This window comes from Homo sapiens, chromosome 2 (assembly GCF_000001405.40).
Source record: "Homo sapiens chromosome 2, GRCh38.p14 Primary Assembly".
NCBI lineage: Eukaryota > Metazoa > Chordata > Mammalia > Primates > Hominidae > Homo > Homo sapiens.
Genome location: NC_000002.12, coordinates 86,491,712 through 86,506,861, shown reverse-complemented (window position 1 = coordinate 86,506,861; position 15,150 = coordinate 86,491,712). Strand labels below are relative to the sequence as shown.

Sequence of the window (15,150 nt, the reverse complement as noted above, 5' to 3'; positions counted from 1 at the left end):
AGGCTGAGGCAAGTGGATTGGTTGAACTCAGGAGCCCAGCCTGGGCAACATGGTGAAACCCTGTCTCTACAAAAAATATAAAAATTAGGTAGGTGGGTGTGGTGGCACACACCTTAGTCCCAGCTGCTTGGGAGACTGAGGTGGGAGGATTGCTTGAGCCCAGGAGGTCCAGGCTGCAGTTGGCCATGATCGCACTACTGCAGTCCAGCCTGTCTCAAAAAAAAAAAAAAAAAAAGGTTCGAAACAAACTAAATGCCTAATAAAATCATTTGTGTTATATTTATTTTAATGGAATACTATATATTGTGATAGATGGTATAGAAATATACTCGTTAACATGGAATGATGTTTACAACATGTGAATAAAGCCTTTTTACTGAAATACATACTTTTGTGTAAAAACATGTCTATAGAAGTCTGGAAGGGAGATGATAAAAATAGTAATCTCCAAGTGATGGTTAATGAGTTTTTAAACTTTATTTTTACTTCTAGATTTTCTGAGTTTTATGTTTAATTAAAAAAATGGTGGGGTTTAATTTTTATTAGTTCATTTGTTGGGTTTAAGTTGTTGGGGAAAGGAAGACAGTTACTCCAAGAAAATATTTTGTGAAGATTTAGAAACAATTTAGTTTTATTCAGAAAGAAGATTTAAAGTTTTCAGTAGCATTTAGGAATTTAGATTAGGAGCTTCAGAACCGAGATTCTTAAAATCCTTACAATTATTATGACTTTGGTATCATTACAGGTAGCTATTTGCACATTTCCCAGAGTGAGTAAACCCCCCCAAAAACAGCTTGCTGTACTGTCTCATTTTTGTATCTGGTCAGATTGGTCCAGGAATGAAAGGCAGGGAAGATTGAGGGGCTGCTTCCTTAAGCCAATGTGGTGTTCATCTTTGCTCTTTCTTTTCAGGGGCCTTGGGCAAAGCACCCAGTAAAGTGACTGATGCCCTTCCAGAGCCAGAACCTCCAGGAGCGATGGCTGCCTCAGAGGATGAGGAGGAGGAGGAAGAGGCTCTGGAGGCCATGCAGTCCCGGCTGGCCACACTCCGCAGCTAGGGGCTGCCTACCCCGCTGGGTGTGCACACACTCCTCTCAAGAGCTGCCATTTTATGTGTCTCTTGCACTACACCTCTGTTGTGAGGACTACCATTTTGGAGAAGGTTCTGTTTGTCTCTTTTCATTCTCTGCCCAGGTTTTGGGATCGCAAAGGGATTGTTCTTATAAAAGTGGCATAAATAAATGCATCATTTTTAGGAGTATAGACAGATATATCTTATTGTGGGGAGGGGAAAGAAATCCATCTGCTCATGAAGCACTTCTGAAAATATAGGTGATTGCCTGAATGTCGAAGACTCTACTTTTGTCTATAAAACACTATATAAATGAATTTTAATAAATTTTTGCTTTAGCACTTGGCCCCATTGTAGATTGCCCTGTGCAGTAAACTTTCAAGGTGTCGGCTGCCCCAGATTGCTTCATTTGCTGGGTGTGGAAAGAGTTGCTATGGCCAGGCATATGGGATTTGGAAGCTCAGCAGAAGTGACTTCTGCTCTGTGGTTGCTGCTCCCCGGCTTTCACAGACATGGTATGGCAGCCATTCTTTTATCTATTTAACCAAGAGGATGCTGGGGAATTGTGCTGCTTGTCCTGTTGGCTGGTGGCTGCATTATGTCCTGGGGTGTGCATGTGGGTCTATTTAGAGCTTCTGTCCCTTCCTTCCCATTGCAAGTTGCACCCAGATGAGACAGCTGTAGTACTAGGTCTCTTTCACCTCTCATTGCCTGTCCCTGCTTCGAGCTGGTTGTCTTGTGCGTGGGACATGGGCCTTCCTATCTGTGTTTTCTCAAAGTCAGGAGCTGACCAGGAGCACACTAAGGTGTGGTCATGCATCATAACCAACATTCACTCATCTGGGACATTCTTAAGATACATTTATAAATCATTTCAGCAGTAGTACTTTGTATGTGTTGAGAGTTTACAGAGCTCTTTGACATACGCGATCTTAGTCTTTACAAATAAGGAAAACAGCTCAGTTTGGGAAGTATCAGAGATGGGATTCAAACCCAGATCCTCTGGTCCAAGTTGTATGTGCACTGAACTAATCAGGCAGGAAAAAAGCCCAGCCACTGTCTCACAGATTGTTTTTTGTATATTGTAGCAAAATCCTGAAACAATGGGGTCCTTCCAGTCTCATCATACAAAATGGCAATCTTGGCTGGGTGCGGTGGTTCATGCCTATAATCCCAGTGCTTTACAAGGCTGAGGCAGGAGGCTCTCTTGAGAATAGGAGTTCAAGACCAGCCTGGGCAACATAGCAAGATCCTGTCTCTCCAAAAAAAAAAAAAAAAAAAAAAAAAAATTTCATTTTTGAGTCCAGAGGACCCTCCTATTACTCTTGATTTCATCTTCAGAGTGTAGTTAAAAAATTATTTTAAATAATTATTTTTTTAAATCAGTTGTAGGTTCACAGCAAAAGTGGACAAAAAGAAATTTCTCATATATCCCCTGCCCTCACACATGCATAGCCTCCCACCACTATCAGTATCCCACACCAGAGTGGTACATTTGTTACAATCAATAAACCTCCATTGACACATCATTATCACCCAAAGTCCATAGTTTACATGAAGATTCACTCTGGTGTTGTACATTGTATGGGCTTAGACAAATGTATGATGATATCTACAATTATAGAATCATACAGAATAGTTTCACTGCCCTAAAACTTCTCTATGCTTCACCTGTTCATCCCTTTCTTCCCTAATCCCCTGGCAACCACTTTAAAAAAAAAATTAGGTTCAGGGGGTACATGTGCAGGTAAACTCGTGACAAGGGGGTTTGTTATACAGATTATTTAGTGACCCAGGTACTAAGCCTAGTACCCAATAGTTACTTTTCTGGTCCTGTCCCTTTTCCCACCCTCCACCCTCAGGTAGGCCCCAGTATGTTATTCCTTTGTGTCCATGTTATTTCACTCCCACTTGTGAGAACATGGAATATTTGGTTTCCTGTTCCTATGTTAGTTTGTTAAGGATAATGGCCTCCAGCCCCATCCATGTTCCTGCAAAGGACATGATCTTTCTTTGGCAACCACTTTTTACTGTCGCCATAGTTCTTCCTTTTCTAGAATGTCATATTGGAATCATATAGTATGTAGCCTTTTCAGACTGGCTTCTTTCACTTAATAATATGCAATTAAGGTTCCTCCATGTCATTTCATGGCTTAATAGTGCATTTATTTTTAGCACTGAATAATACTCCATTGTCTAGATGAATAGTTTATCCATTCACCTATTGAAAGACTTCTTGGTGGTTTCCAAGTTTTGGCAATTATGAATAAAGCTGTTGTAAACATCTTTGTGCAGGTTTTTCTATGGGCATGTTTTTAATTCATTTGAATAAATACCAAGAGCTTCAGTGCTGGATCATATGGTTTGTCTCGTTTGACTGTCAAAGTGTACCGTTTGCATTCCCACCAGCAATTAATGAGTTCCTGTTGCTCCACACCCTCACCAGCATTTGGTGGTGTAAGCGTTCTGGGTTTTGGCTATGCTAATGGTTATGTGGTGGTACCTGATTGATTGACATTTGCAGTCCCCTCATGACATATGTTGAACATCTTTTCATATGCTTGCTTCTTGGTAAGTTGTCTTTTCAGGTCTTTTGCCTGTTGTTTAATTGGGTATTTCTGATTATTGAATTTTAAGTGTTGTCTATTTTGGCTAACAGTCCTTTATCAGATGTGCCTTTTGCAAATATTTTATCCCAGTCTGTGGTTTGTCTTCTCATTATCTTGACAGTGGCTTTCACAAAGCAGAAGTTTTTATTTTTATTGAAATCCAGCTTATCTGTGTTTTTCATGGATTGTGCCTTTAGTGTTGTATTTTAAAAAATCATCACCAAACCCACAGCCATCTAGATTTTCTCCTGTTATCTTCCAGGAATTTTGTGTTTTACATTTAGGTCTGTGATCTACTTTGAGTTAATTTTTGTGAGGGTGTTAAAGTCTGTGTCTAGATTGATTTCTTTTTTTTTTTTTGCATGTGCATGTCCAGTTGTTCACCATTTGTTGATGTTGAAAATACTTCTTTTGAGACAGGGTCTCACTCTGTCGACCCATGCTGGAGTGGAGTGATGCCATTTTGGCTTACTGCAACCTCTGCTTCCTGGGCTCAAGTGATCCTTCCCCTGGTGCATGCCATCATGCTCAGCTAAATTTTAAAGGTGTTTTTGTAGAGATGAGGTTTCACTATATTGCCCAGGCTGGTCTCGAACTCCTGGACTTAAGTGATCCTTCCTCTTTGGCCTCCCAAAGTGCTGGGATTACAGGCATGAGCCACTGCCCCAGCCAAGACTGTCTTTTCTCCATTGTATTGCGTTTGCTTCCTTGTCAAAGATCAGTTGACTATATTTGTGTGGGGCTATTTCTGGGCTCCCTATTTGTTTCCAGTGATTATGTCTATTTTTTCACCATTACCACCCTATCTTAATTACTGTAGCTTTATAGTGAGTCTTAAAGTTGGGTAATATCAGTCTTCTGACCTTTTTCTCTTTCAATATTGTGCCAGCTATTCTGGGTCTTTTGCCTTTCCATGTAAACTTTAGAACCAGTTTGTCAGGATCCACAAAATACTTTGCTGGGTTTTGATTGGGATTGCATTGAATCCACAGGTCAAGTTGGCAAAAACTGACATACAGCAATGCCAGTTTATTGTTTTGTGATAGCCTTAATCCAGCTAGTTTCTTCACAGGATGATGTTGAAAATATGGGATGCTCATAATCCCTGAATATTTTTTATGTGGATAATTAAACTTGTTCTGGGTGGATGGTTGGATAGCCAGAATAGTAATAACCTCTCTTCCAGCCACTCAAAGAAAATGATATAAACGTAGGGTTGGTTTAATTGTTGAGAGGTCACGTTTTTTCCATTCTTGCTTGCTCTCAGGTAAGGAAAGAGCACTGTTGGTTCACGCATTCCTTTTTCCCTCATACACTTTGTTGGGCACTGATATGGTTTGGCTCTGTGTTCCCACCCAAATCTCATGTTGAATTGTGATCCTGAGTGTTGGAGGTGGGGCCTCGCGGGAGACGACTGGATCATGGGGGCGGATTTTCCCCTTGCTGTTCTCATGATAGTGAGTTCTCATGAGATCTGGTTGTTTAAAAGTGTATAGCACTTCCTGCTTCACTCTCTCCCACTCCACCATGTGAAGAAGGTGCCTTTGCCCTTCCGCCACGACTGTGTTTCCTGAGGCCTCCCCAGCCATGCCTCCTGTACAGCCTGCGGAACTGTCAGTTAAACCTCTTTTCTTCATTAATTACCCACTCTCAGGTGGTTTTTTATGGCAGTGTGAGAACGGACTAATACAGAAAATTGGTACCAGAGAAGTGGGATATTGCTATAAAATACCTGAAAATGTGGAAGTGACTTTGGAACTGGGTAATGGGCAGAGGTTGGAACAGTTTGGAGGGCTCAGAAGAAGACAGGAAGATGAGGGAAAGTTTGCAGCTTCCTAGAGACTTGTTGAATGGTTGTGACCAAAGTGCTGATAGTGATATGGACAGTGAAGTCCAGGCTGAGTTGGTCTCAGATGGGAGATGAGAATCTTATTCCGAACTGGAGTGAAGGTCACTCTTGGCTGTGCTTTAGCAAAGAGAGTGGTGGCATTGTGCCCCTGCTCTAGAGATCTGTGAACTCTGAACTCGAGAGGGTATCTGGCAGAAAAAATTTCTAAGCAGCAAAGTGTTCAAGATGTGGCCTGATTGCTTCTAAAAGCCTATGCTCATTTGCATGAACAAAGTGGAACTTATATTTAAAACAGAAGCTGAGCTTTTATAAAAGTTTGGAGAATTTGCAGCCCAACCATGTGGTGAAAAAGAAAAATCCATTTTCTGGGGAGGAATTCAAGGCTGCAGAAATTTGCATAAGAAGAGCCTCATGTTAACAGCCAAGAGAGTGAGGAAAATGCCTCTAGAGCATTTCAGAGACCTTCACAGCAGCTCCTCCCATCACAGGCATGGAAGCCCAGGAGGAAGAAATGCTTTTGTGGGCCAGCCCAGGGCCCCACTGTTCTGTGCAGCCTTGGGACATGGTGCCCTGCATCCCAGCCACTCCAGCTCCAGCTGTGACTAAAAGGGGCCAAGGTACAGCTTGGGCTGCTGCTTCAGAGGGTGCAAGCCCCAAGCCTTGGTGGCTTCCATGTGGTGTTAGGCAGGTGTGCAGAAGAGTTGAGGTTTAGGAACCTCTACCTAGATTTCAGAGGATGTATGGAAATGCCCGGATGTCCAGGCAGAAGTTTGCTGCAGAGGCAGAGCCCTCATAGATAACCTCTGCGAGGGCAGTGTGGAGGGGAAATGTGGGGTTGGAGCCCACACAGAGTCCCCACTGGGGCACTGCCTAGTGGAGCTATGAGAAGAGGGCCACCATCCACCAGACCCCAGAATTGTAGATCCACTGACAGCTTGCACTATGCACCTGTAAAAGTTGCAGGCAGTTAATGCTAGCCTGTGAAAGCAGCTGTGGGGACTATATGCAGAGCCACAGAGGCAGAGCTGCCCAGAGCCTTGGGAGCCCACTCCTTGTGTCAGTGTGGCCTGGATGTGAGACGTGGAGTCAAAGATCATTTTGGAGGTTTGAGATTTAATGACTGCCCTCCTGGATTTTGGACTTGCATGGGGCCCATAGCCCCTTTGTTTTGGCTGATTTCTCCTATTTGGAATGGGAGCATTTACCCAATGCCTGTATCCCCATTGTATCTTGGAAATAACTGACTTGTTTTTGATTTTACAGGCTCACAGGAGGAAGGGACTTGGCTGGTCTCAGATGAGACTTGACTTGGACATTTGAGTTAATGCTGGAATGAGTTAAGACTTTAGGGGGCTATTGGGAAGGCATGATTGTGTTTTGAAATGTGAGGACATGAGATTTGGGAGGGGCCGGGGTGGAATGATATGGTTTGGCTGTGTCCCCCCACCCAAATCTCATGTTGAATTGTGATCCTGAGTCTTGGAGGTAGAGCCTGGTGGGAGGTGATTGGATCATGGGGGCAGATTTCCCCCTTGCTGTTCTCATGACAGTGAGTTCTCATGAGATCTGGTTAAGTGTGTAGCACTTCCCCCTTTGCTTGCTCTCTCCCTCTGCCATGTGAAGAAGGTGCTTGCTTTCCCTTCGCCCTTCTGCCATGACTGTAAGTTTCTTGAGGCCTCGCAGCCATGCTTCCTGTACAGCCTGCAGAACTGTGAGTTAATTAAACCTCTTTTCTTCATAAATTATCCAGTCTCAGGTAGTTCTTTATAGCAGCGTGAGAATGGACTAACACACGCATCACTGGAGACAAAATGAGTCAGACACTTAGCCCTAGAAGGCGTTATGATGTGGAAGGCAAATAATGGTTGTACAGGCGTGCAATAAAAGTTTCTCCATTTTCAGGTACTCAACTTGGATCCAGCAATAGCAGCATCAGCTCCCACCCACCCCATCCCACATCTCACCCCAAACAAACACATATAGGATCTACTTGGTGCCCTAATAAAACCATTTATTCATTTCCAAGGGCACTCAAACTATCATTTCATACCACCATCTCATTTTTGTTTGTTTTGAAACATAGCTTTTTAAAAATCACTTTTCAGCTTGAGGTGGTCACCTAGTAGTTCACTCCAGGCAGGCTGTAACCTGACCATCCGTCTAATCTCCTATCAAAGATGTCTGTCTTCCAGAACACTTAGCAATTATACAGCTCACATGGCTTTAGGCACCTTGATTATGTATTTCCAGGTGTGTGTTTGTTTGTCTTGGAACTCCTGGAGAGATGGGGTTCTGACTCATTTGTTTCCAAATAGTACTAGTCATGTCTGCTTTGGGCCTTTTTCCAATCCCACAACTGACAAATCATACAGCTTTCAAAGCTTTCAATTAACTGGGACCATTTTTCTTGTCCTACTGTAGTGACAGGTGCTCTTCAAATGGTAATCTTGATTATCAGTAAGAAAAGGATCTTAGGACTTGGAAATGTTTGGTTAAAATAAACATAAAACAGGTTTTCTTTAGAACGTTTCTAAGGCTTTCATATGCTTTTTCCAAATTTATTTGACCAATACAGTTTTCTTTTGAGGCATCAGAATTAACATCCCCCAGCCACTGAACCATCTCAGAAATGCAGATCTAAGCCATAGTGGGGAAATACCTTGTTTTAGGGTAAGGAAGTTCTTTCCTGTACGTAATTATAGTTTCAAAAATAGATTTATAGAATATCAGCAAGATGTTGGAGTAGACAGGTTCAAACACCCATCCTTCCAGAGAGGGGAACACCCCTGAACCCACTTTGTCAGAGCTCTGGAAAACAAAGGTTACTGTAAAGCAACCAAGTAAATCTGGATTAAGAAAAAGGAAACTTAATACTGGTAAGAAAGCTTTGTGTCATTTTTACTTGCCCCTCCCAGCATGGCAGTGGTCTTGAATACAGCAGCCCACAGACCCTGGTCCTTGGTTCCAGAGGGAACAAAGCAGGCCTTATTCACAAGTTATATGTGTCTGCCATAAACCTGTCTGGGAGACTAACACAAGGTGCTCATCTCCGGTTTGCCTGAGAACCTCCTTGGCAGAAAAGCTGAAGGCATTGCTTGAAAACACTGTAAGGCAATCAGGAAAAAAGTGCGCCTTTTATCTGAGGTAAAAGATTATAGTTGAAATAAATATACAATGGACTGCCTAAAACCTGGGAAGAAAAGCTGGGGAGGTAAAAGAAACCATGGACAAATGAACTAAAAAGGAAACCAGGAAAACACTATGAATGAAATCTCAATAAAGAAACAAAGTATAAAATAGAACCACACAGAAACGCTGGAGCTCAAATGTATACTAACTTGAAATTTTTGAAAATACACTAGAGGGGTTCAACAGCAGGTTTGAGTAGGTACAAAGAGGAACCAGCAAACTTGAAAACAGAATAATTGAAAAAAATACAGTCTGAGGCTGGGCTTGGTGGCTCATGCCTGTAATCCCAGCACTTTGGGAGGCCAAGGCGGGAGAATTGCTTGAGCACAGGAGTTTGAAACTAGCCTGGGCAACATGGCAAGACCCCATCTCTACAAAAAAAAAAAAAAAATTAGCCAGGCATAGTGGCACACACCTGTAGTTCCCAGCAACTTGGAGGCTGAACTGGGAGGAGGATCACCTCAGCCTGGGAGGTTGAGGCTGCAATGAGCTGTGATCATGCCACTGCACTCCAGCCTGGGTGACAGAGTGAGACCCTGTCTCAAAAAATCAGTCTAAGGAACAGAAAGAGAAAAGAATGAAGAAAAGCCAAAGGACTTGTGGAAGCCCATCAAGCTCACCAACATACACATTATGGCAGTATCAGAGGGAGACAAAAAGACAATATTTGAAGATGATATAATGGTTGAAAACCTCTAAAATCTGAAAGATAAGAATCCAAGAAACTGAATTCCAAACAGGATAAACCCAAAGGGATCCACAATGAGACACGACAGACAAACTTAAAAAAAAAAAAATATTTAAAGCAGCAAGAGAGAAGTGACTCACTATGTAAAAGTGATCCTCAATGTAATTTCTTATCAGAATCCACGGGGGCCAGACGGCTGTAAGGATAACATATTCAAGATGCTGGGGAGAAAAAAGCTGTCAATGAAGAATTATATTCCAGGGAAATTATCCTTCAAGAATGAAGGAGAAACTAAGACATTCCCTGAAAAGCAAAAATGAAGGGAGTTTGTTTCTAGCAGATCTGCCATATAGTAAATGCTAAAGCGAGACCTTAAGGCTGAAATGAAAGAACACTAGACTAACTTAAAGTCATACAAAAAAATAATAAGAGCACTAGTAAAGATAATTCCAAGTAAATATAAAAGCCAGTTATACTTCTGGTTTGTAATTCATTTTTTCCTATTTTTTGCCTTAAGGCAAATATGCATAAATAAAAACTATGTTAATGGGCACAATGTATAGAGATGTAATCTGTGACAATAACACTATAAATAAGGAGGGATGAAGATGTATAGCAGCAAAGTTTTTGTATACTATTGCAGTTTATAAGCCAGGTGCAATGGCTCACGCCTGTGATCTTAGCACTTCAGGAGGCTGAGGTGGGTGGACTGCTTGAGCCCAGGAGTTTGAGACCAGTCTGGGCAACAGTGAGACCTCGTCTCTACAAAAAAATAAAAAATAAAAAAATTAGCTGAGTGTGGTGGCGCATGCCTGTAGTCCCAGCTACTCAGGAAACAGGTGGGAAGATCACTTGAGCCCAGGTGGCAGATGTAGTGAGCCAAGACTGTGCCACTGCACTCCAGCCTGGGTGACACAGTGAGGCCCTGTCTCAAAAATGAAACAAGAAAAACTCCCAAAGTTTGTAAAGCTTAAGATGTTAACTGCAGTTCCTGAGAGAATAACCAAGAAAATAACTTAAAAATATATACAAAAGGAAAGAAAAGGGGAAACAATGGTACAGTACAAAGTTTCAACTAAATATGAAATAAAGCAGTAATGGTGGGATTTTAAGTAACAAAAACCAGATAAAACATACCAGATAAAAAGCAGAAGTCAGTCATCTAATTACTCTAAATGTATTAAACTCCAATTAAAAGGCAGATGGAAGGGATAAAAAAACATGATCTACCTATATATGCTGACAATTTAGATACAAAGAAAAAAAGGTTAAAAAAGTAAAAGGATGGAAAAGAGCCCATAGAAATGGTAACCACGAGAAAGCTGGGGTTATCTATATAATTGTCAGACAAAACAGATTTCAGTTTAAGATTTCAGGACACCAAAGAAGGACATTATATGTTGATGAAAGGACCAATCCATTAAGAAGATATGATAATTATAAACATATATGCACCTAACAACAGAAATTCCAAAAGACATGAAGCAAAAATTGCCAGAATTGAAGACAGAAATAGTTCTACAGTAATAGCTGGCGACTTCAATATCCCACTTTCAATAACCAACATGACAACCAGGCAGAACATCAATAAAGAAACAGAGGACTTGGATGACACTATATACCAAATAGACCCAACAGACATACAGAATGACCCACCCAACAACAGCAAAATATACATTGTTCTCAAATGCAAATGGGACATTCTCCAGCATAAACCATATGGGCACAAAACAAGTCTCAAGAAATTTAAAAAGACTGAAATTATACAAAATATCTTTGCCAACCAGGATGGAATAAAATTAGAAATCAGTAACAGAGGAAAACTAAAAAATTCACAAATATGTGGAAATTAACACAATCTTAAAACAATCAAAGGGTCAAGGAAGAAATCACAAGGGAAATTAGAAAATACCTGAGATATGGCTCACGCCTGTAATCCCAGCACTTTGGGAGGCCGAGGTGGGCGTATCATGAGGTCAAGAGATTGAGACCACCCTGGCCAACATGGTGAAAACCCGTCTCTACCAAAAATACAAAAATTAGCTGGGCATGGTGGCACGTACCTGCAGTGCCAGCTACTTGGGAGGCTGAGGCAGGAGAATCGTTTGAACCCAGGAGGCAGAGGTTGCAGTGAGCTGAGATCGCACCACTCCACTCCAGCCTGGTGACAGAACAAGACTCTGTCTCAAAAAAAAAAAAAAAAAAAACCTGAGATAAATGAAAATGAAAACAAAACGTGCCGAAACATAGGGGAGGCAGCAAAAATAATGGTCTGGTAAGGGCTTGCTCTCTGCTTCATGGATGGTGCCTTCTAGCTGTGTTTTCACATTCCCGAAAGGTTAGGGGAACTTGCTTGAGCCTCTTTGATAAGGGCCCTAATCCCACTCATGAAGGTGAAGCCCTCGTAACTTACTTTCCAAAGGCTCCACCTCTTAATACTCTTACATTGGATATTAGATTCCAATATATGAATTTTGAGAGTCAACAACATTCAGACCATAGCAATAACCTAACTGTACACCTTAAGGAACCAGAAAAAAAGAGGAACAAACTAAACCGAGGGCTAGCCGAAGGACAGACAAAGATTAGAGCAGAAATAAATGAAATTGGAAACAGAAAAATAGTACAGAAAATCAACAAAATCAAAAGACAGTTCTATAAAAATACCAACAAAATTAACAAGCCTAGAGCTAGACTGACTATAGGAGAATGAGGATGAGGGCAGAAGTTACTGAAATCAGATACGAAATGGGAGAAACCACCACCCACTTTACACAAATAAAAAGGATTTTAAGAGAATGCTATAAACAATTGTATCTCAATATATCAGCAATATCCTGATACCAATTTCAGACAAAGATACCACAAGAAAAACTACAACAAACCCTTATGGTTACAGATGCAGACATCTTCCAAATACTAGAAAACCAAGTCCAGTAACCTATTAAATGGACTATACACCACAACCAAGTGAGATTTATCTTAAGAATACACAGGTGGTTCATCATATGAAAATTATTCAATGTATATGCCACATTAATAGAATGAAGAATGGAGGAAAAACCACGTGGTTTCTACTGTTGCAGAAAAAAGCATATGACAAAATCCAACACCCTTTCAGGATAAAAAAAGAAAACAATAAAAACTTAAGAAATAGAAGAGAACTTCCTTAACAGCATAAAGGCCATAGATGAAAAATACACAGCTAAATCACTCTGAAAGCTTTCCCCTAAAGATGAGGAACAAGACAAGGATGCCCACTTTCACTACTTTTATTGAACATGGAACTGAAAATTCTAACCAGAGCAATTAGGCAAGAAAAAGAAAGGTATCCAGATTATATACAGGAGTAAGTAAAATTATCCCTGTTCACGGATGGCATGATTTTATATGTACAGTTGCAAAATACAAACCAACACCAAAAATCAGTTGCACTTATAAATGCTAGCAATACAAAAAGAAAAATAATTTCATTTATCATAGCAAAAAAAGAATAAAATACCTAGGAATAAATTTAACCATGAAGGTACAAAACTCATGCAACTGAAAACTACAAAACATTGCTGAAAGACATTAAAGAAGACACCAATAAATGGAAACACAACATCCCATGCTCATGGATTGCAAGAATTAGATTGTTAAGATGACACCCAAAGGAACATACAGGTTCAATGCAATCTCTATTAATACCCAGATGGTGTTTTTTGCAGAAATAAAAAAACCTATCCCAAAATTCGTACGGAATTTCCAGTGACCCTGATTAAAACAATCATGAAAAAGAAGACCAGAGTTGGAGAACTCACAGTTGTTGATTTTAAAACTTACTACAAAGTAGCAGAAATCAAAACAGTGCAGTACTGGCATAAAGACAGATACACAGACCAGTGGAATATGAGAGCCTAGTAATATGCTTTCCCATCTACGATCAATTGATTTTTAACTAGAGTGCCAAGACCATTCAATGGGGGAAAGAACAGTGTTTGACGACAAATGTTGCTGGGAAAACTGGATATCCATATTCAAAAAAATGAAGTTGAATCTTTACACCATATTTAATAATTAACTCAAAATAGGTCAAAGACTTAATTTAAGGGCTAAAATTTTAAAACTCCTAGAAGAAAACATTAGAGCAAATCTTTGACCTTAGATTTGACAATGGGTTCTGAAATTTAATACGGATCCTCTGGCCTCCTACTCAGCTCACAAATTAAAACTCAGGTTCTAGGCTTTGTCTATGTACTATCTGATTTCTATGTTTAATTCCTTTTTTTAAAGAAATTAAATGAAAGAGTGGCCTAGGAGAATCAGTGGGCTAAAGAAAGGCGCTTCTTTGTGAATTTTTTTCCTTCACAGAGATGAATATTTTAGGTAGTACTGTCCTAGAACTTATAATTTCATTTTCCTTCATAAACTTAACATTATGAAGGGCCATAAAACAAAGTGTTTCATTACTTACCTTTTTAGAACCATTTAGCCTGGCACTATTTGGTTTCTTGGTTAATTCCTGTTTCTAAATTTAATTAATTGGTGGTGTTTCCTTGACAAAGTGTGACAGGGTTTCTACCTGGCTGAGCAGAAATTTCCATGTTAGCTTTGTAATAATCACTAAGAAAATCACTATAGCATCTGATTTCTTTGCTTTTAAGAAGAGTTCTTGGAGCAATCCATTACACCTGCATTTGAAGAAAGTTGTGTTGAAACCACAATGAGAGGATAATGCCAATAAACTGAGCCAAAATATTATATGAATATTTTAATGCAAAATGCTTAACACTTAAAATTAGCAAAGCGTCATTTAAATTAAAATTCCATTTAACTAAAGATGGTTAACCCCAAGAAATTGTACAGTAGTTGATTTCTGCTATATAATGCCAGTCCTATGCCATACAATAAGAACTGCAACATTAGCTGTCACTTCCTCCATTGCTCTTCTGGACCCTAAGGGATGAGGGAGGGGACTCAGACACAAAACACAACCCAAATAAACTGTGCAGTGATTCCTAATAGTTATAAACCCAATCTAAGTTGTCCAAACAGCTGAAGAATAACTGCAGGTATTGTTCCAGAGCTGATACGAGGTTTTGCTTTTACAGCCTGGTAAAAGTTCTGCACTAGGTGAGAAGTCACAGTTTAAGGATGCATGTTCTGTAAATAGTTACTACATATACACATTTACTGTCTGTAAACACTAGAAATATACATTAGACAGAGTACCCTCACAAGTTGGGTACAGTTTAAAAAAGAAGATGAGGTAACATGAATCTCAAAGTCCACAGGAATCCTGCCTGAAGAGTTTGAACAGCTGCCTGTAATTCATTTCCAATGTGCAGGGAGATTAAGGTTTGCCAAAACTGGATTCACTGGCTTTCAGCATAGCAACTGCATCTTTCACTGCATGGTAGATAACATTCTTCACCTAAAAATAGTAGGAGAAAATATGGGCATTTTACATTTAAATCTAAAACCTGTCACTAAGAATAAGCTTCCTCCTACTAATTTTATTACCTTCTCTCAGAATTTAAAATTCAATATTCGTATGAAATGTCAACATTGCAAAAGGTCCCTGGGCTCCTTCAGACCAGTATTTCACATACATTTTAAACCCATGATTTCAAGAACTCATTTTCCCCCTTTTAGAGGTTTTGATACCACGTAGACCTACTCACAGTGAGTACAGGGAGAGGCAAGTTCCAAGGTACAGCTTTTATCATTTTTCCCTTATTTTCCAAACATGAAATTATGT

The 15,150-nt window shown here is 40.2% G+C and overlaps 3 protein-coding genes across 13 annotated transcripts in view, besides 1 other annotated feature; 2 read left to right on the top strand and 1 right to left on the bottom strand.

The window, feature by feature from the left end:
* Window positions 1-3,432, top strand: part of RNF103-CHMP3 (RNF103-CHMP3 readthrough) — a 217,693-nt gene extending 214,261 nt beyond the window's left edge. Inside the window, exon 8 of the mRNA NM_001198954.1 lies at window positions 913-3,432. Within this exon, the coding sequence (NP_001185883.1) occupies window positions 913-1,058 (146 nt within the window). The 3' untranslated portion in view covers window positions 1,059-3,432. The remainder of the gene's footprint in view (window positions 1-912) is intronic.
* CHMP3 (charged multivesicular body protein 3) overlaps window positions 1-3,432 on the top strand; it is a 60,014-nt gene extending 56,582 nt beyond the window's left edge. For all 4 annotated transcript variants that reach the window (NR_036454.2, NM_001005753.3, NM_001193517.2 and 1 more), the window contains one exon: window positions 913-3,432. Coding sequence is in view for 3 of the 4 variants with exons in the window: in NM_001005753.3 (NP_001005753.1) it covers window positions 913-1,058 (146 nt within the window). In the remaining variant the exon portion in view is untranslated. The remainder of the gene's footprint in view (window positions 1-912) is intronic.
* Window positions 6,189-6,389: a silencer, noted in NCBI's record as "peak3779 fragment used in MPRA reporter construct". NCBI's record gives its function as "represses an SCP1 promoter by STARR-seq MPRAs in K562 erythroleukemia cells {active_cell/tissue: K562}" and the evidence as "EXISTENCE:reporter gene assay evidence [ECO:0000049][PMID:32103011]".
* The window catches only part of KDM3A (lysine demethylase 3A), a 55,673-nt gene continuing 54,668 nt past the window's right edge, over window positions 14,146-15,150 (bottom strand). For all 8 annotated transcript variants that reach the window (XM_047445102.1, NM_018433.6, XM_047445101.1 and 5 more), the window contains one exon: window positions 14,146-14,823. In XM_047445102.1, coding sequence (XP_047301058.1) covers window positions 14,743-14,823 — 81 coding nt within the window. In that variant the 3' untranslated portion in view covers window positions 14,146-14,742. The remainder of the gene's footprint in view (window positions 14,824-15,150) is intronic.